The sequence below is a fragment of the Homo sapiens genome, chromosome 22 (genome assembly GCF_000001405.40).
Source record: "Homo sapiens chromosome 22, GRCh38.p14 Primary Assembly".
Lineage (NCBI taxonomy): Eukaryota > Metazoa > Chordata > Mammalia > Primates > Hominidae > Homo > Homo sapiens.
In genome coordinates this window covers 42,839,191-42,860,310 of record NC_000022.11, presented here as the reverse complement: position 1 = coordinate 42,860,310, position 21,120 = coordinate 42,839,191, and the positions used below count along the sequence as shown (strand labels likewise).

Below are 21,120 nucleotides of genomic sequence, written 5' to 3'. Positions count from 1 at the left end.
GCAGATACAGATAGATAGAATATTATATATCATAATATTAGATGCCAATAAGTTCTATGAAAAACACTTAAGCAACTGACAGATAAGACAACCATAGTGTATTGGCCGGGTGCTGTGGCTCACGCCTGTAATCCCAGCTCTTTGGGAGGCTGAGGTGGGCAGACCACCTGAGGTCAGGAGTTCGAGACCAGCCTGGACAACATGGTGAAACTCCGTCTCTACTAAAAATATAAAAATTAGCCACGTGTGGTGGCATGCGCCTGTAATCCCAGCTACTCGGGAGGATGAGGCAGGAGAGTCGCTTGAACCTTGGGAGGCAGAGGTTGCAGTGAGCCGAGATCACGCCATGGCACTCCACCTGGATGACAAGAGTGAAACTCCATCTCAAAAAAAAAAAAAAAAAAAAAAATTAGCCAGGCATGGTTGCGGGCGCCTATAATCCCAGCTACTCAGGAGGCTGAGGCAGGAGACTCGGCTGAACCTGGGAGGCAGAGGTTGCAGTGCGTCAGGATCACACCACTGCACTCCGGCGAGACTCCTCAAAAGAAAAAGGAGAAAAAACATTTGATTTCAAGAAATATATATATATATATATATATATATATATATATATATTTTTTTTTTTTTTTTTTGAGACAGAGTCCCGCTCTGTCGCCTAGGCTGGAGTGCAGTGGTGTGATCTCGGCTCACTGCAACCTCTGCTTCCCAGATTCAAGCGATTCTCCTGCCTCAGCCTCTGAGTAGTTGGGATTACAGGTGCCCACCACCATGCCTGGCTAATTTTTGTATTTTTAGTAGAGATGGGGTTTCACCATGTTGGTCAGGCTGGTCTCGAACTCCTGACCTCATGATCCACCCACCTCAGCTTCCCAAAGTGCTGGGATTACAGGTGTGAGGCACCGCCCCCGGCCAGAAATATATATTTTTGTATTCAATTAGAGCCAGATAACATATAGATAGAATATTATATGTTATAGTATTAGATGCTAAGTTCTATGAAGAACACTTAAGCAACCATAGTGTATAAATGGTACCTCCTACCCCTTCCTCCCCTATTCGTGTAGATACTGTCTATAATTTACTGCTTTTGTTTCCCTCTCCTCAATCTCTATGGTGGAGAATGGGCTAGACTGCACTACTCTGATAATATAACTTAGTAAGATTTCAGCTCCAAGTAGTAAATGGGACCATCATTCCCATTCCCATCAGGAAGGATAAAACTGCTCATAAACATGCCCGGTATTCTGCATAAGGCCAAACTAGTACCCGGTGGACACAAAGCACAGGTGTTATACTTCGACTCAATACAGGAAGAACTTTTAAACCATCAGAGCTACCTGCAAAAGTAATGTACTTTTCTGGAAGATAATCAATTTCCCTTTCTTGGAAAAGTTGCAGCTTTGGGTTTATAAGTTACATTGTCTGCAAGCTCCCAACTGCCACCGAGGGTCTCCAAGCAGATAGGTGGAGTGTACATTTCCTGACTTCTAACAGTAGAAAGCCTCCACCAAAGGCTCTTCAGGATATCCCTAGGAAGCTGCTCACCTGTGCTACTCAGCACTGATTCTTTAATTTCTTTGTACAGATGAATAAACCATGGTTTATTTTATTTTACTTTTTGAGACAGGGTCTTGGTCTGTCGCCCATGCTGGAGTGCAGTGGTGCGATCTTGGCTCACTGCAGCCTCGACCTCCTGGACTAAAGCGATCCTCCCACCTCAGCCTCCCAAGTAGCTAGGACTACAGGCCCATGCCAGCATGCCCGGCTAATTTTTGCATTTTTTTATAGAGACGGGGTTTCACCATATTATCCAGTCTGGTCTTGAACTCCTGAGCTCAAGTGATCCTCCCGCCTCAGCCTCCCAAAGTGCTGGGATCACAGGCATGAGCCCCTGAGACTGCAAATAAACCATGCTTTAGAGAAGGTAAGTGTCTTGACCAAGGCCACAGAGCTAGGAAGCAGCTGGCTGAACTGGGATTGAGGCCAAGGTAGTGCCTTTGATGCCAAAACCTGCTGTCCTTCCTCACTATCACCCAACCTCTTTCCAGTGGCTCCACACCCATTGTGGTGACAGAGGCACCTTCTGCTGAGTGTAAACTCTTCTGGCTGGAATTGTTTCCCAGAGGGTAGGGTGCAGCCCCGAGGGCCGGGGTTAAAAGTCAAGCTTCTCATCTGGACTCATCAGTTCTGACTGAGCACTTCTGCCTCAACCCGCACTGCCATCTCTCCATGAACGTGACACAAAAGCCCTTGGTTTCAGAAAGCCAGTTTCCGGGCAAAGAAAGCTTTCCACCCAGGGCCTGGCGTGAGCTGAGGGCAAGAATTAAAAAGAGTCGGGCGCGGCGGCTCACGTCTGTAATCCCAGCAATTTGGAAGGCCGAAGTGGGTGGATCACCTGAAGTCAGGAGTTCGAGACCAGCCTGGGCAACATGGTGAAACCCTGGTCTCTACTAAAAATACAAAAATTAGCCGGGCGTGGTGATGTACGCCTGTAATCCCACCTACTCGGGAGGCTGAGGCAGGAGAATCGCTTGAACCAGGGAGGTTGCAAGGAGCCGCAATCGCGCCATTACACTCCAGCCTGGGGGACAGAGCGAGGCTCCGTCTCAAAAAAAAAAAAAAAAAAAGGGAAGGCCACCAGCTAAGGTCCGGCGTCAAGGCACGGGCCCTCCGTCCGTCTCGTGCCGAAGGAGGGCGCGTGCGCCCCTTCCCCTGCCTCTGACCTTTCCATGGAAGCAGCCCGTTAGGCGAAATGGCGATCGACCAGGCGAAACGTTGGTGGATCCTATGGCAGCGCGCGTGGCAGGCAGCCACACCCGGGCCCGGCTTCGCCCAGCGCTAAGGGCGTGGAGCCGCGCCGCAAATGGCGCGCGAGCCTCCTGCGCACGCGCGTGCAGCGCCTGGGGTCGGGCCAGCGGCGCGGCTGAAGCGAGGGCGGGGAGGGAAAGCGAGCGGCGCCTGCGCCCCGGCGGTGGACGGGCCCGGTCGTGGGCGGGGATTGGGGCGGAGCCTGACCGTTACGCGCAGCCCCGCCCCCGCGGCCTCGTCGCTCCTGCTGAGGCGGTAGCCGCTTTTCGTCGACTCTTACCGGTTGGCTGGGCCAGCTGCGCCGCGGCTCACAGCTGACGATGGGGGACCCCAGCAAGCAGGACATCTTGACCATCTTCAAGCGCCTCCGCTCGGTGCCCACTAACAAGGTAGCGGCCGCGGGCGAGTGCGGGCCTGCCTGGCATCCCTGCGGGAACCGGCGGGAGGCCCCGCGGGCGCCAGTGCCCGTGGCTTGGGAGGCGGGGCCGGCGCGGCCTGTGACACGTCGCACTGTGGGGCCGCGGCAGCCTGGCCGGGCCGGGGCGGGCGGGGCCGGGCAGCTGAGAGGCCCGGGCGGGAGGCCGCAGCGCGGGGGTCCTCACGCGAGCCGGGGAGCGTTCCCGGGGGCGGCGGCGCGGGCACACCCCCCGGCGAGCTCTTGGGGCGGGGGGCGAGCACCGGCGGCTCTGAGCGGAGGCGGGGGCGGGGGCATCCTCGGGGGCGCTGCGAGGAGGGAGCTCCCGGCTCGGAAACCCCGGCTGCTGGCGCCGGATGCGGGGAAAGCGCGGCTCCCCCAGCGCCACCCTGGAGCTCGACCCCGCCTGTTGGAGCCGGCTTGGCTCCTCGGGCCTTGCGGTGCCTGCCTCAGTTTCTCTTCTGATAAAGTTGCCGAGTAGTCTACGCTTTGGCTTCCAGCTTTTGTCGCTTTGGCCAGGGAGGCTCACCACAGCCTCCTCCCTCTCCTCGGTTCTCTTTGGAGATGGAGGTTTCCTTTTTTTTTTTGTCTCCAGAGGCTGTTCTCTCCCTGGAACTTTTACAGCTTTGCGCAGCTGGCTGGAGGCGTTGGGGTGACGCAGGGGGCTAAGGTGACACGTCGGGTCGGAGAGGGACTTGGAGAGTGCAAAGGGCTGTCGCGTCAGCGTGGGCTCTCCCCGCCCCTCCTGTGACACGAGTGTTGTCTGGTTCCCACTGTCACTTCCCGAAGGGAACAGCTGTTATTGAACCTCGATATGCTGGCATAGAAAGTTCCCGAGTGTTACAAAATAGGTGTTTCTGTTGGTTTTAAGTCTTGATGGTACAGGGGAGCCCATATTTTTTCCAGCCTAGGTGAGGAAGGAAACAGTTTATTGGAGGTGATGTCTGATGGATGTGGGAAAGTTAAGAGAAAGGCTCCAGGAATTCTCCAGTGCCCGTTTCTTTACTGTTCTCTTGATTTTCACATTTTTATTTATTTATTTTTTTAGAGACAGGGTCTCACCCCGTCACCCAGGCTGAAGTGTAGTGCCTTGATCCTAGCTCACTGCAGCCTTGACCTACCCAGCCCAAGCCATCCTTCCTTCCCAGCCTCCTGATGAGGCTGACACCACAGGGCTGTACCACCACGCCCAGCTAATTGTTATTATTAATTAATTAATTAATTAATTTTTGTAGAGACAGGGTCTTGCTATGTTGCCCGTGCTGGTGTCAAATTCCTGGGCTCAAGCAGTCCTCCTGCCTCCTCCTGCCTTGGCCTCCCAGAGTGCTAGGATTACAGGCATGAGCCACCATGCTGGCCTTAATGTTCTTTTTTTTTTTTTTAACGTTTTAATTTTAATTTTTTTGAGACAGAGCCTTGCTCTGTCGCCCAGGCTGGAGTGCAGTGGTGCGATCTCAGCTCACTGCAACCTCTGCCTCCTGGGTTTGAGCAATTCTGCCTCAGCCTCCTGAGTCGCCAGGATTACAGGCATCCACCACTACACTCAAGTAATTTTTATATTTTTAGTAGAGACGAGGTTTCACCATGTCAGTCACTCTGGTCTCAAACTCCTGGCCTCAAGTGATCCACCCGCCTCGGCCTCCTGAAGTGCTGGGATTACAGGCGTGAGCCACCGCGCCCAGCCTTGATTTTTAAATTTAGATTGATGTGTTTATAAAGAGTGGGTCCTGTGTAACTTAGTCAAGATTAGGATCTGCGGTTAGCAATGTGTAAACTATATTTTTTTGTCACCTTTATCTCAGAAACATCAACATGTATTCTCTTTGATTTAATTCAAAGATAATTTTAAATTAGAAATCAATGTCTTTATATCAAGAGGCTTTTGAGAGACAGGCTTGTATTGTCCAAACTGCTACTTTCTAGGTATGTCACCCTTGGACAGGTTACTTGACCACTTTGTCCCTTTTTTCCTCCTCTGAAAATGGGGCATGAACTAGACCTGACTCAGAGGGTTATTGTGAAGATTAAATGGAATAATCCAAGAAAAACACTTAGAGTAGGAACTGCATATAATAGTCTTCAATAAATGGCAGCTGTTTTTATGATGAAGAACACACCTGTGAAAAATTTATATTCTGTAATAAGATTAATAAAAGCAATGAGCAAAAATGTTTTCTGGTAATGTTTAACAGTAATGTGCTATATTTCTTGGTTGAGACCTTTTATTTGATCATTGGTTTGAAACCCTTACCTAAACGAAGATAACAATAGCATTTTAAAATTGGGGTCATAAAAGACAGCTCTAAGATACATGAGCCAGGAAAGGTAATCAAAGAAAAACAAGTCGGCTTACTTTTAGAACATGGTATCCAATTTCTTCGTCTCATGTATGATGATTTACTCTAGATCAAAGGTCATGAGGGTCAATTCTCTTTTTTCTTTTTCTTTCTTTTTTTTTTTCTTTTGAGACAGTCTAGCTCTGTTGTCCAGTCTGGAGTGCAGTGGTGCGATCTTGGCACACTGCGACCTCCTCCTCCCAGGTTCAAGCGATTCTCTTGCATCAGCCTCCTGAGTAGCTGGGACTACAGGCGTGTGCCATCACGCATGGCTAATTTTTGTATTTTTAGTAGTAATGGAGTTTCACCATATTGGCCAGGCTGGTCTCAAACTCCTGACCTAAAGTGATCCGCCTGTCTCAGCCTCCCAAAGTGCTGTGATTACAGGCGTGAGCCACCGCACCTGGCCAAGGGTGAATTTTCTTGTTTGTGGAAATCCTTCTTTGTTGCTATACCATTCCTTACTTTTATATAGATTGGGTTATTCATTCAACAAGTATTCATTAAGCACCTATGCTATGCTGGGCACTGTGTAGAGCATGAAAGGTATGTACACTGATGGTATGTTCCTGTCCTCAGGGAACTTATAGTCTAGTGGACAGATGAAGGGCAGATGCAGGACGGCAGGTGGTATGTTTTCTGCTCTGAAGCACAGTGTGGTGGAGCGGGAAGAGTGGCTCTGGGAACAGACTGCATGGGATCCAGTCCCCATTGTGGGCATTTCCACTAAGGAATTACTAAGCAGTGGCCACTTCTTATCTGTCATACTTAATTCAGTAATTCCTTAGTTTTCTTTAAAATGGAGATCAAGATTTACCGCCACCATCCCACGCCCGGAAGGGCTCCTCATGCTCTCTGCAGCATGGTGCTTCTGTCGCTTACAGAACAACTTGCCTTTGATGATTTTCAAGAGAGTTGTGCTGTGAGGTGGCAAAAGTATCCAGGCAGCAGGATGCCAGTGCCTCAAGGAAAAAATGGTCCTTTTCGGCAATGTGTTCGGTACTGGGGGCTTGGCCCTTGTGTATTACCGCATACAAAAGACTTTTTCCAGGGCTTTGTATTACCAGTTGGCATTGGAGCAGGTGCATAGCCATCCCAAGGCACAGGGAGCTCTGGGCCCTCTTCTCAACATTCACTGTCTCAAACTCACCAAGCACAACTTTGTGGACATTGCTGATGCCAAGTTGAAGATTCCTAGCTCTGGATCCAAGTCAGAGGGCCATCTCCATGTCAGCTCATCCAGAAGTGCCCCTTTCAGAGGTGGCACCTTGATGAGGTCTTCCTAGAGCCCAAGGATGGCCAGCAGATTCCCTTGTTCAAGCTCAGTGGGGAGAATGGTGAAGAAGTGAAAAAGGAGTAGAAACGATCCAAAAGACCCAGCTTTCTTCTAGTCTGGCCTTCCCTTATCTCCACCATGTGCCCACCAGGGGTGATGGCCCATCTGAGTGACAGACACTCCCGTAAGCTAATTTTCCAGCCACCAGTGGAATGATTGTATGTGCTGGCATATGGTAATTTTGGTATAATTCTAACTTGGGCACAACGAATGCTATTGTCATTTTTAAACTGAATCAGAAAGAAACTCTTATTATAAGATAATTTATGTGAAAGTTCTTTGTTTAAGAAAGCACATGATAAAAGGAATCAGAATTAAGAAAACATTCATTGATTTAAAAAACAAATAAATAGGCCGGGCGCGGTGGCTCACGCCTGTAACCCCAGTACCTTGGGAGGCTGAGGCGGGTGGATCACCTGAGGTCAGGAGTTCAAGACCAGCCTGGCCAACATGATGAAGCCCCGTCTCTACAAAAATACAAAAATTAGCTGGGCATGATGGCGAGTGCCTGTAATCTCAGCTGTTCGGGAGGCTGAGGCAGGAGAATCGCTTGAATCCAGGAAGCAGAGGTTGCAGTGAACCAAGGTCACGCCACTGCACTCCAGCCTGGGCAACAGAGAGCGACTCCATCTCACACGCACACACAAATAAAATAAAATTAAATAAATAAAATGGAGATCAAGACTAGCTACATAATTTGTGAAATGTACAAAATGAAAATGCAGGGCCCTTGTTTGAACAGTATTAAGAATTTCGGCCAGACACAGTGGCTCACACCTGTAATCCTAGCACTTTGGGAGGCCAAGGTGGGTGGATCATCTGAGCTCAGGAGTTCGAGACCAGCCTGGGCAACATGGTGAAACCCCATCTCTACTAAAAATACAAAAAATTAGCCAGGCGTGGTGCCATGTGCCTGTAATCCCAACTACTCGGGAGGCTGAGACAGGAGAGTTGCTTGAACCCAGGAGGCGGAGGTTGCAGTGAACCAAGATCACGCCATTGCACTCAAGAGTGGGCGACAGAGCGAGACCCTATCTCAAAAAAAAAGAATTTCAAGATGAGGCTAGGCGCGGTGGCGCCTGTAATCCCAGCACTTTGGGAGGCCGAGGCAGATGAATAGCTTGAGCTCAGGAGTTTGACACCAGCCTGGGCAACATGGTGAAACCTCATCTCTACCAAAAAAAAAAATTAAAATTAGCCATGCATGGTGGCTCATGCCTGTGGTCCCAGCTGCTCGGGAGGCTGAGGTGGGAGGATTGCTTGAGCTCGGGAGGCAGAGGTTGAAGTGAGTCGAGATCATATCATATACTCCAGCATGAGACCCTATCTCAAAAAAAAAAAAAAAGAATTTCAAGATGAGACAGCAGAGCATTAAGCCAATCACACACTCTTTTATTCTAAGTGTGGGGCCCTCTGCGACTGCATAGATCACACACATGCCCAGGAAGCTGGCCCTGATGGGGATGATCATAGTACCTTCTACTAGTACCCTACTAATGAAAGCGTTGTTAGGAAGATGAAATTGGCTAAAGTGCCAACAATAGTGCCTGAATTAAACACTCAATATTAGCTGTTATTATTATTTGTATACTAATTATTCTCATCATTAAACAAAACAAATTGTCAGTCAAAAGCTATTTCTTGCTCATCACCATAAGAACTGATGTTCTGCTTTAAAAGCCACATCTTGACTTTGGTTTGGGATTGCATATCAAATCAAAGCGCAGTCCCTGCTTCCAAAGCATAGCCTCCTGGTATAGCAGGAGGATCAAGGCAGCATTTATGGGAGCCAGACCTGTATTTCTCACCACTTCTGACCTCCACACGTCCCAGTCTCCACTTGTTAGCTCCTCTACCCCTATAAACTGCTCCACCATGTGCATTCGCATTTAGTGAGCACCTGTGTTGTGCCAGGCATGGTGCCAAGCTCAGGTGAATAAGGTAGACATGGCCCCCCCCTCATGGGGCTACATTTTAGCAATCCCTTAGCTTAGGTGATGGGTCCGGAGGATGCCAAAGCTGCCTGCCTCATTAGGAACCTCACTGCTCTCTTCTTGTAGCCAGTCTGGTGACCACCTCAGAAGTGATTCTCAAACTTGGCCTGCTCTGGGCTGTGTACCCAAAATCTCTGCCATCACCTCTACCAAAAACCCTTTGCATCCTGTCCTTGCTTACTAGGAAACAATCTTGTAACTAATTGTCTTGCCCACTGGACTGCTAGACTGTGGGCTCCATGTGGGCAGACTTCCTGAACCACGCTGGTATGTCCACTTGGTATGTGCCAGGTACACTTGATGGTAAGTGCACAGCAACTGGTAGTTGAGTAACTAGGTGAGAAATTACACACAGCCTGACGGGGAAGAACAGCACCTTTTGGCAGAGTCTGTCGTTTTGTTTGATGCCCCACAGAAGAGGGTTCTCCTAATGGCCATCACCACAGGGCGTTTGAATTTGCGCGTCTGTCTTCCCCACTTCTCAGTGAGCTCTTTAAAGACTAGCACCAATAAGCGTTCAGCTAGTGTTTGTGCTGCTACTTTTTCATACCTCATCACCTGTCACATGTCTGACATACAGCAGGTGATCAGTAAACACCAAAGTAAATCTCCTGGCCTCTTTTTGTGTCAGTTGTCACTCCACCCCGATTATTCAGTGTGCGATCAGTGTGAGCATATTGTGGTGAGGGGCTTTAGAAAACCCACTCGTGTTTCCTCTCTTGTATTGCCCTTGTATTGCCCTGAAAAGACCAGAAGCCAGATCTTGCTTGATAATGATAGGTTGGACAACCTTCACATAAGTGATTCTGCCTATAAAGTATATCTTTTTTTTTTTTTTTTTTTTTTTTTTGATAGCAGGGTCTCACTGTTGCTGAGGCTGGAGTGCAGTGGAGTGGTCTCCGCTCATTGCATCCTCCGCCTCCCAGGCTCAAGCGATCCTCTCACCTCAAACTCCTGAGTAGCTGAGACTACAGGCACGTTCCACCACGCCGGCTAATTTTTTTAATTTTTTGGTAGAGATAGGGTTTCGCCATGTTGCCCAGGCTGGTCTCAAACTCTTGAGCTCAAGCGATCTACCTGCCTTGGCCTCCCAAAGTGCTAGGATTACAGGTGTGAGCCACTGCACCCAGCCTATATATCTAATATGTATTTTTTTTTCCTGCAAAAAGATTAAAAACACCTCTATTAGAGGAATTTTTTCCCTATTCGGAGTTTAATGAGTTATAAATACTACTTTCCACAACAAGCACTGTGTATTTTATGGGCCCAGCACACTTCCGACGCGTGACTCTGCTAGTTAGCACTGTGTATTTTAAAGTACTTTTATGCTCCTGTTGGGCTTCAGTGTCAGTGTTGAAGGGGCTAGTAATTTTTGAGCTGGCAATACGTTTTTAAAGTTATTCTTTTGAGTAACAAATATTTACTGAATGCTTACCATGGGTAAGCCTATTTTTCAGGCTGTGTGTGAGATTTAAAAGTACACAACTATTCAGCAAACACTTATTGTGCGTTTACCATGTGCAGGTTCTGTGCTAGTGGACAGGAAAGTAAGGTGACAGGAGCCGGACGTGGTGGCTCACACCTGTAATCCTAGCATTTTGGGAGGCCGAGAGGGCCCAAATTGCTTGAGCCCAGGCGTTCAAGACCAGCTTAGGCAACATAGCAAGACCCCCATCTCTACAAAAGAAAAAAAAAAATCTGGGCACGGTGGCATACACTTGTCCTAACTGCTTAGGAGGCTGAGGGGGGTGGATGGCTCGAGCTCAAGAGTTCGAGACTGCAGTGAGCTAGGACCGTGCCACTGCACTCCAACCTAGGTGACAGAGCCAGACCTTGTCTCTTTAAAAAAAAAAAAAAAAAAGCCATAAAGCAGCGAGCTAGGACCGTGCCACTGCACTCCAGCCTAGGTGAGAGCCAGACCTTGTCTCCTTAAAAAAAAAAGAAAAAAAGCCATAAAGATTAGCAAAAGGGAAAGATTCTACCCCTGTAAGAGCTCTCAGTGCCCTCAGTGGGCAGGGAACGTAGTCCTCGGTTATGAACCTGCATCTAAGAGTTATCAAAGTGACCTGGACAGAGTGAGGCAGTGGAGGTAGAGAAGGGCACAGCATTTCATAAAGGAATATCTCTCTGTATTAGTCATCTATTGCTGTGTATCAGATCACCCCCAACTTGGCATCATAAAACAACAGATAGTTCTGAGGGTCAGGAATTTGGGGGTGACTTAGCTGGCTGCTTCTGACCCAGGGTCTTTCATGAGGCTGCAGTCAAGCTGTTGGCCCAGGGCTGAGGTCATCTGGGAGCTTACTCACATGGTGGTTGGCAGGCCTCCTCTCCTCGCTGGCAGTTGGACTGGGGGCCTCAACTCCTCAGCACTTCACCCTCTCCACAGGGCAACCTGAGTGTCCTCAAGACATGGCACCTGGCTTCCCCTAGAGCTAGTGATCCAAGGTGGGGAGGGAGAGAGGGGGAGAGAGAAAAAGAGAGTGGGGGAGACAGGAAAAGGCCATAGTGTCATTTGTAACCCAATCTCAAAAATGACATGGTCATTTCTGCCATATACACATAGACACACAGATCACCTTGGTAAAGTGAGGGTGGTGGAGATTACACGGGATGCAAATACCAGGAGGTGGGTTTCACTGGGGCCATCTTGGAGTCTGGCTGCCACAACCTCTTCCTCTGGCTGGGGAGAGAAGCAATATGCTCAACAGCCTGCCATCTGGTATAGCCACTGCCAGGAAGGATGGTAGGGCTGGAGTGTTTCTAGGCAGGGCTGCTTCCCTCACTAGCATTCCTTTACATGACTGGTAGGATCCCTGCTGATGCTTCAAGGATAAGGCATGTTTGAGATGGTACACAAACCTAAATTCTCTTCACTATGTATAGTGTGCATTGTTAAAATATATACATGATAGCCCGGGCGCGGTGGCTCACGCCTGTAATCCCAGCACTTTGGGAGTCCAAGGCGGGTGGATCACGAGGTCAGGAGATCGAGACTATCCTGGCTAACACGGTGAAACCCCATCTCTACTAAATATACAAAAAATTAGCCGGGTGCGGTGGCGGGCGCCTGTAGTCCCAGCTACTCAGGAGGCTGAGGCAGGAGAATGGCATGAACCTGGGAGGCGGAGCTTGCAGTGAGACGAAATCGTGCCGCTGCACTCCAGCCTGGGCGACAGAGCGAGACTCCGTCTCAAAAATAAATAGATAAATATATATATAACATAATCTGTAATATACTGTATAAATCATGTAGTAAACTGGGCACAGTGGCTCGTGCCTGTAATCCCAACACTATGGGAGGCCGAGGCTGCCAGATCACCTGAGGTCAGGAATTCGAGACCAGCCTGTCCAACATGGTAAAACCCCATCTCTACTAAAAGTACTAAATTAGTTGGGTATAGTGGTGTGAGCCTGTAGTCCCAGCTACTCCGGAGGCTGAGGCAGGAGAATCAATGGAACCTGGAAAGCAGAGGTTACAGTGAGCCGAGATTGCACCATTGCACTCCAGCCTGGGTGACAGAGCGAAACTCTGTCTCAGAATAAAAAAATACATAATATAGTAATTAACTATACTAATTTATAATTAATATAATTATATATAATAATAAAAGAGCATGAAATTTGAGGCTTTTAAAAAAACCTAGGTGAGATATTTTCTAATAATACAATCCCAAAGTTTACATTGTAAAGGTTAAACAGTTTTCAAGCTAAGTCATTTACTGTATCTTACAGGATAATTTATTTGGCTAACATAAATTAGTAACTGAATTTAACATTTTTTTTCAGGTGTGTTTTGATTGTGGTGCCAAAAATCCCAGCTGGGCAAGCATAACCTATGGAGTGTTCCTTTGCATTGATTGCTCAGGGTCCCACCGGTCACTTGGTGTTCACTTGAGTTTTATTCGGTAAGTGAATCTTCTCTCATTGGGGTGAGATTGATTACATTGTTACATGGGTGTTTTTTTCCCTTTTTTCTTTTCTTTTTTTGAGACAGTGTCTTGCCTTGTCGCCTGTCACCTTGGCTGCAGGAGTGCCATCATAGCTCACTGGGCTCAAGTGAACTCAGCCTCTACAAAAAATAAAAAATGTTGTGGTGTGATGATGTATAACTCTAGTCCTAGTTACTCAGGAGGCTGAAGTGGGAGGATCACTTAAGCCCAGGAGTCAAGGCTGCAGTGAACTATGATCTTGCCGCTGCATTCCAGCCTGGGCGACAGAGTAAGACCCTGTCTCTTAAAAAAAAAAAAAAGAAAGAAAGAAATGTGATTTTCAGTGTTGCCATACAGTATTAAAAGGTGAGGCCTTTAAGAATTGATTGAGCCCTCATTGGTATGGGTTAATGGGTTATCATGTAAGCGGCTTTATAGGAAAAGGAGGAGAGACCTGAGCTAGCACGCTCAGCGTTCTCACTAGGCGATGCTGCCTCTGGACTCTACAGAGTCCAACCAGTAAGAAGGTTCTTACCAGATGTAGCCCCTTGACCTTGGTCTTCTCAGCCTCCTTAACTGTAAGAAATCAACTTCTTTTCTTTATAAATTACCCAGTTTCAGGAATTCTGTTACAAGCAATGAAAAACCGATTTATGTCAATCATCTTCTAATAATTCGGCAGTACAAAGTACAGACTCATGGGAGAAGGGGAATCAGGTGCTGTGGGTCTGTCCTATGTCCTCCAAAGTGGAGAGTTTATGTCAATGATGAGACACTCTCCTTGTATCAGGGCTTCACTTCCACCGTAATCTTATAGCTCTGGCTTCCAAGGACACTAATATCACAAAGCCTGAGTGAATGATTTTTAGTGGCAGTTTCAAATGTTTATAACATGAAGGTCTTTTTTCTCCTTTTATCTGAAGACTTGGGCTGCATTGGCCCCTCTGGTGAGTAAACCGTCTTCTACTTCTGATACTCTATGGCAATAGCCCATATGGGGCCTTTTGCATCAGAAGAAGACACCACCTTTGGACTGACAGTCTGATGGGATAACCCCACAGTCCAGTGGGAGGCAGGACTATTTGTGAAGTGAAATAAATTGAAATAATAAAAGAAATAATGGAAAGATCCCCAGGGCTTGGAAGCTAAGCAAGGCCTGCCTGTCACCTGCCACAGGCCCTTGCCAGGACAACTTGTGCAGAGCACCCTCAAACAGCCATGGCTTAGTCATTGCTGCCTCCCCCAGACAATTTCCAGAGATTTCCCTACTCCATCTTTTCTAGGGAAGGAACCAGCTAGGCTGCCCATCTGGAATTGTGGCAAGCAATCTTATATTATGACTTAAGGAATATCGAAATATTGATAGAACGTGATTATTAAAAAGGAGCATTTGTTTCTATAAGATAAAATCTATTATGATTCTTTGTCTTTTTTTTTTTTTTTTTTTTTTTGAGATGGAGTTTTGCTCTTGTCGCCCAAGCTGGAGTGCAATGGCGCGATCTCAGCTCACTGCAACCTCCACCTCCTGGGTTCAAGCGATTCTCCTGCCTCAGCCTCCCAAGTAGCTGGGATTACAAGTGCGCGCCACCACACTCAGCTAATTTTTGTATATTTAGTAGAGATGGGCTTTCACCTTGTTGGCCAGGATGGTCTTGATCTCCTGACCTTGTGATCCACCCCCCTCGTCCTCCCAAAGTGTTGGGATTACGGGCGTGAGCCACTGTGCCTGGCCTTGCCTTCTGTTTTCTTCTAAGAGTTTTATAGTTTTAGGTCTTACCTTTAAGTCTTTGATTCATTTTGAATTAATTTTTGTTCACAATGTCAGGTAAGAGTTCAACTTCATTCTTTTGTATGCGGATACCTAGTTTTTCCATCACCATTTGTTGAAAAGACTGTCTTTTCCCCATTGAATCAAACTTGGGGTTTTTTTTTGTTGTTGTTGTTTTGGGTTTTTTTTTTTTTTTGAGATGGAGTCTTGCTTTGTCACCCAGGCTGGGGTGCAGTGGCACGATCTTGGCTCACCTCAACTTCCGCCTCCCAGATTCAAATGATTCTCCTGCCCTCAGTCTCCTAAGTAGCTGGGATTACAGGCATGTGCCACCACGTCCATCTAAGTTTTGTACTTTTAGTAGAGACAGAGTTTCGCCGTGTTGGCCAGGTTGGTCTTGAACTCCTGACCTCAGGTGATCTGCCCGCCTCGGCCTCCCAAAGTGCTGGGATTACCCCGGCTAAAGCTTGTTTTTAATGTACTTTGTTTTCCAGATTGATCATTACCAGTTAACTTATGGTAACCTACTCTGCCCAGAGCAGATGAAGACTAGACTCAAGGCAATACCTAGTTACTTCTCTTCCTTCTGTCTTTACTGTGTTCTTTCCCTCTTTCTTTCTGCTAAGTCTCGCCCATTATAACCTCTCCTTCTTCCTCATCGCTAAAGAATACTTCCAGTTTAAGCCATTCCAGGAAATCGGGTGGTTTTATGATGTGTTCCTCCGTGAGGGAAGGAGTGACCTAGAGCCTGAGGGGCAGTACAGCAGGATCTGTTTGGGCCATTGCAGGTTTAATCACTGACCTTTTAAAAGTCAGATAAATAGAACTGTATGAGTCACAATGCTTGTAAATGATTCAAAAACAGCAATTAAAATTCATGATACAACCTTAGGGCAGGAGTCTAGGATTTGGGCAAGAAAAAGTCAAGGATGAGAAAGTACTCAGTATTGTTTTTGTTGTTATTTTTAAGGCAGAGAAGAGCTATTCTTTAAACATTTTTATTCCTTAAAAAAAACTGAGGGGCCGGACATAGTGGTTCACACCTGTAATCCCAGCACTTTGGGAGGCCAAGGTGGAAACATCACTTGAGCTTGGGAGTTTTTTGGGTTTTTTATTTTTTTTTTTTTTTTTTCCTTTGAGACAGAGTCTCACTCTATCCCCTCGGCTGGAGTGCAATGGCATGATCTCAGCTCACTGCAACCTCCGCCTCCCGGGTTCAAGCAATTCTCCTGCTTCAGCCTCCGAAGTAGCTGGGATTACAGGTGTGTGCCACCACACCCAGCTAATTTTTGTATTTTTACTAGAGACGGGGTTTCACCATGTTGGCCAGGCTGGTCTTGAACTCCTGACCTCATGTGATCCACCCACCTCAGCTTCCCAAAGTGCTGGGTTTACAGGCATGAGCCACAGCACCTAGCCGAGCATGGGAGTTTGAGGCTGCAGTGAGCTATGATCTCACCACTTCACTTCAGTCTGGGTGACAGAACAAAGACCCTGACTCAAAAAACAACAACAACCACCACCAAAAAAAGAAACAAAAAAAACCACTAGCTAATTGGGAAAAAATCCAAGCAGCCCCAAAATATATAAAGTCTCTCCTCTAGAATACTTTTCCCCTCTTCTTCCCCTCCCACTGCCAGACACACACACATGCACTGCTTCCTGTGTGGCATGGGTGGTGTGCATATTTAACTGGAGTTTTTTTTCTTTAACTAGAATTTCAAGTCAACAAATTTACAGAGGAAAAATAATTTATAAGTTATGGCTTTTGCCAAGCAAAGGGGGGAAGGCAGATTAAGAGTATATGGAGAGGGCAAACTGCATTGGTTGCTGACTGCTCCCAGAGTGGACCAGATTGAACTGACCTCTGCCCCTTTTCACCTCCATTGCTGGGATCTCCATGTTTCAGGCTGCTCCTCCCCTCTAGCTCTGTTTTTTCTCAAGTTTGCCGTTACGTATTTCATGAGCTTATTAAAGGTGAATGGGATCCCTGCATCGATCTTGTTGGCCTGGGGTTAGGGACAGGCTTAAATACAACGTAAATAAGAAGATAGACTGCAAAGTTATGCATGAGAGATGGAAACTAAGTCCTGTGCCCACTTCTGGTTGGAAAATAAGGCAAAGTTTAAAAGAGGTAACATTTGCAATGAACTTGGAAGGTTTGGTGAGGTTTTGATAATGGAGACAAGGCCGGGCATGGTGGCTTGCGCCTGTAATCCCAGCACTTGGGAGGCCGGGGTGGGAGGATAGCTTGAGCCCAGGAGTTTAAGACCAACCTGGGCAACATAGTGAGACCTCATCTCTACGACAACAAAAAAAGATAATGGAGACAAGGGAGGGAAAATTGAGGTCAGCACTCGGACCTTCAGATATAAAAGCAGGAAAAAGCGAAATGCTTTGTAGCGACTTTTTGTATGCATAGGAAAATAAAGAGAAGTAAGGGTGAAAGGAGAGGATCTGTGTCATATTGTGGAGCGCTTTAGCTGCCACACTGGGAGCTAAAAGTTCACTCCTGAGGCCCTGGAGGGGTGAGGCATGTGGGGAGGCTGACTCAGCCTGGGCAGAGCAGGAGACAGCATCAGGAAGAGGTGAGGACCGAGGCTGAGGATGCAGGAGCGGGGATGTGGTTGGGGGGTCGGGGGGAGGCAAATCTGAGCTGTCCTTTCCTGGCCTTGGGTGTGTTCCTTACCTCTGAATGTCTTGCTTTCCTTCTCTTGAAAGTGAGGGTGAGAATACTAGGACCTGCCGTACAGGGTGTTGGCAGGAGCGAGCAAGAGAGCCCCATACAGCCTGGCACATAGTGAGCCCTAGAACATGTTGATGATGACCAGGGCAGAATCTGGGCTCCTGCTCGGTGGACACTGGGGAGAACCTTTTTATGATGTTGGCGTAGAAAGGCAACGCTTTTTATGACCTTATAGAGGTAATCAAACAAGTTATAAACAAAGGGCGGCTGGGAAATTACTGAGATTGTCTATAAGTAAAACTCTAGATTAATAATGGTATGCACTTTGGGAGGCTGAGATGAGGGGATTGCTTGAGGCCAGGAGTTCGAGACTAGCCTGGCGAACATGGCAAAACCCCGTCTCTACTAAAATTACGAAAATTAGCCAGGTGTGGTTCCGCACGCCTCTAATCCCAGCTACCTCTGGAGGCTGGGGCACAAGAATTGCTTGAATCCAGAAGGCAGAGATTACCATGAGCTGAGATCGCCTCACTGCACTCTAGCCTGGGCAACAGAACGAGGCTGTGTCTCAAAAAAAAAAAGGTATGGTTCACTGGGCATGGTGGCTCACACCTGTAATCCCAACACTGAGAGGCTGAGGTGGGAGGATTGCCTGAGCCCAGGAGTTCTAGACCATCTTGGGCAACATAACAAGACCCTATCTCTATTTAAAAAAAAAAAAAAAAAAAAAAGGCCAGGCACGGTGGCTCATGCCTGTAATCACAGTACTTTGGGAGGCCAAGGTGGGTGGATCACCTAAGGTCGGGAGTTTGAGACCAACCTGACCAACATGAAGAAACCCTGTCTCTGCTAAAAATACAAAAATTAGCCGGGCGTAGTGACACCTGCCTGTTATCCCAGCTACCCAGGAGGCTGAGGCAGGAGAATCACTTGAACCCAGGAGGCAGAGGTTGCGGTGAGTCAAGATCGCACCATTGCACTCCAGCCGGGGCAACTCCGTCTCAAAAAAAAAAAAAAAAAAAAAGCCCGGCATGGTAGCTACCATCTACTTGGGAGGTTGAGACAGGAGGATTGCTTGAGCAATCCTGGTTGAGGCTGCAATGAGCTGTGATCACACCACTCCATTCCTGGGTGATGGAGTGAGACCCTGTCTCAAAAAAAAAAAAAAAAGAAATTAGTAAATATAAGGGCAGCACAAAGGAAAGTTTTGGTGGACCTAAAGCTTCTTTTCTTTTCTTTCTTCCTTGCCCATTTTGTAAAAGGTATTCTGCCTATACTCATTCTAAAATATCCACATTCCTTTACAGTTAGTGTAGGGCAAGCTATTACTGAATAACAACCTCTGCTTTTTGCTCATTTCTGTGGATTCAGTATAAAGATTCTAACATTGTTGCTTTACCGTCGACCCCTTGGGGAATGTGCATTGTTGAGGCTATACTCACTGCCTTTACTTGTTTCAGATTTGATCTTACAGTGGAGAGAAGTTAGGCATAAGGTGTGGAAGGGGCAGGAAGTGCTTGTAGCTTTCACTTCAGGAGCATGAAATCTTGTGTTTTTTCCTCTCTCTGCTGGTCGTGATGTTGGGTAGGTCTCTTCTACCTTGTGATAAGAGAATGAGCATCCTCCAAGCTTCTGGTAGCGATCAAACTGGACAAGTAGATCACCGACCTGAAAACATCCAAACAGTGCATCTGTTTCAAGTAGAGACACATTACCAAATTTCAAATCATATCCAACCAAGGATGGGAGGCAAAGAGTTGGTGTCGTTCCAGCAGCCCGCTGACACTTGTCATGTCCCTGTGCCCTGCATTCCAGGAAGGACGAGAGGAGCCAGGGGTTGCTCACGCCAACCATCATCCACTCTGGAGTCCTAGCATCCCAAAAGTGTGGGTCCTTGTTGACACAAACTTAGAATTCTTTAGGATCCTAAAGCCTAAGGAAACCTTGTTCTCAAAAGCTCACTGATTTTGCTCCTGGGGATAAAAAATATTAACAGTTAGTAATATTCTTTCCATTTAGATCTACAGAGTTGGATTCCAACTGGTCATGGTTTCAGTTGCGATGCATGCAAGTCGGAGGAAACGCTAGTGCAGTAAGTTCATCTCAAACTCGTCATTTTCCTTCTTGTTTAAATATTTGTTATGCTATAATAGTAAAGAAGCTCAGGCTAGGTGCAGTGGCTCATGCCTGTAATCTCAGCCATTTGGGAGGCTGAAATTACAGGCGTTTGGGAGGATCACTGGAGCCCAGGAGTTCAAGACCACCCTGGGCAACATGGCAAGACCCTCTGTTTATAAAAAACAAACAAGTCAGGTGTGGTGTCTCACGCCTGTAATCCCAACACTTTGGGAGGCTGAGGCGGGCGGATCACTTGAGGTCAAGAGTTCGAGACCAGCCTGGCCAACATGGTGGAACCCCATCTCTACTAAAAAAAAAATAATAATAACAAAAATTAGCTGGGTATGGTGGTGCACACCTGTAATCCCAGCTACTCGGGAGGCTGAGGCGGGAGAGTTGCATGAACCTGGGAGGCAGAGGTTGCAGTGAGCCGAGATCACACCACTGCACTCCAGCCTGGGTGACAGAGCGAGACTCCATCCCAAAAAAACAAACAAACAAACAAAAAGAGTTCAATACTTGAAAGTTTGGGAGGCCCTATGAGAAGAAGCAGAGAGCCTGATGGGTTTTGGAGTTGGACAGACCCAGTTGACTTGTTTATTCAAAAATCTGTTAAACACCTAATAAACAGGAAGCGTTGGCTAGCTGCTGGGGATATAGTGACAGACAAGACAAACAAGATCCCCAGCTGGGCACGGTGGCTCATGCTTGTAATCCTAGAACTTTGGGAGGCTGAGGCAGGCAGATCGCCTTGAGCCCATGAATGTAAGACTGACCTGGACAACATGACAAAACTCCGTTTCTGCAAAAAATGCAAAAATTAGCAAATCATGGTGGTGCATACCTGTAGTCCCAGCTACTCGGGAGGCTGAGGTGGGAGGATCTCTTGAGCCTGGGAGGTAGAGGTTGCAGTGAGCTGAGATCGCACCATTGTGCTCCAGCCTGGTTGATAGAGTGAGATCAGTGATAGATAGAGTGAGTTGATAGATTATCAAAATAATAAATTAAAATAACCAATATCCCCTCTTATAGGGGATATTTTATTATAAATAAAAATAATCAAGATCCCCTCTTATAGACAGGGGCAGTCAGAGAGTAATCAAAGAAATATGTTCACAGGAAAATAACAGGCAGTGATAAGTGCTTTAAGAAAATTAAAACAGGAAGTGAGGGTACAGAGAAACTGGAGGCTTCTTTATGATAATAGTTTTTTAATAACTGGGGTGACTTTTGTGGTTAGGATGGAATGCTTGTATTTAAATTAATATTTAACTTCTTAAATCTACAAATTAAAAAACCCATTCTTTTTTTTTTTTTTTTGAGACAGAGTTTGGCTCTGTTGCCCAGGCTGGAGTGCAGTGGCGCCATCTCAGCTCACTGCAACCTCCACCTCCCGGGTTCAAGAGATTCTCCTGCCTCAGCCTCCTGAGTAGCTGGGACTACAGGTGCACGTCACCATGCCTGGATTTTTTGGTATTTTTAGTAGAGACGAGGTTTCACCATGTTGGCCGAGCTGGTCTCAAACTCCTGACCTCAAGTGATCTGCCTGCCTTGGCCTCTCAAAGTGCTGGAATTACAGGCATGAGCCACAGCACCCGACCAAAAAACCCATTCTTCATGTCTTTAAATATAGCAAATATTGTGTGTTAATTTCTAAACACAAACATAAATACTGTGTGTTAAGTTCTGTGAAAAAATAACCTTAAAATATTCAATTAATTTATAAT

The 21,120-nt window shown here is 47.0% G+C and overlaps 1 protein-coding gene and 1 pseudogene across 3 annotated transcripts in view, besides 3 other annotated features; both read left to right on the top strand.

Moving 5' to 3' along the window:
- Positions 2,763 to 3,512: a silencer, noted in NCBI's record as "silent region_13844". NCBI's record gives its function as "represses an Ori minimal core promoter by ATAC-STARR-seq in GM12878 lymphoblastoid cells {active_cell/tissue: GM12878}" and the evidence as "EXISTENCE:reporter gene assay evidence [ECO:0000049][PMID:35858748]".
- Positions 2,763 to 3,879: a biological region, named in NCBI's record as "H3K27ac hESC enhancer GRCh37_chr22:43252438-43253282".
- Positions 3,035 to 3,879: an enhancer, noted in NCBI's record as "H3K27ac hESC enhancer chr22:43252438-43253282 (GRCh37/hg19 assembly coordinates)". NCBI's record gives its function as "activates a minimal SCP1, AML or CMV promoter by ChIP-STARR-seq in primed H9 embryonic stem cells {active_cell/tissue: H9 hESC(primed)}" and the evidence as "EXISTENCE:reporter gene assay evidence [ECO:0000049][PMID:30033119]".
- The window catches only part of ARFGAP3 (ARF GTPase activating protein 3), a 60,772-nt gene continuing 42,689 nt past the window's right edge, over positions 3,038 to 21,120 (top strand). For all 3 annotated transcript variants that reach the window (NM_001142293.2, XM_005261525.5, NM_014570.5), the window contains exons 1-3: positions 3,038 to 3,197; positions 12,679 to 12,797; positions 19,295 to 19,367. In NM_001142293.2, the coding sequence (NP_001135765.1) occupies positions 3,129 to 3,197; positions 12,679 to 12,797; positions 19,295 to 19,367 (261 nt within the window). In that variant the 5' untranslated portion in view covers positions 3,038 to 3,128. The remainder of the gene's footprint in view (positions 3,198 to 12,678; positions 12,798 to 19,294; positions 19,368 to 21,120) is intronic.
- On the top strand, positions 6,371 to 7,229 carry COA1P1 (COA1 pseudogene 1; annotated as a pseudogene).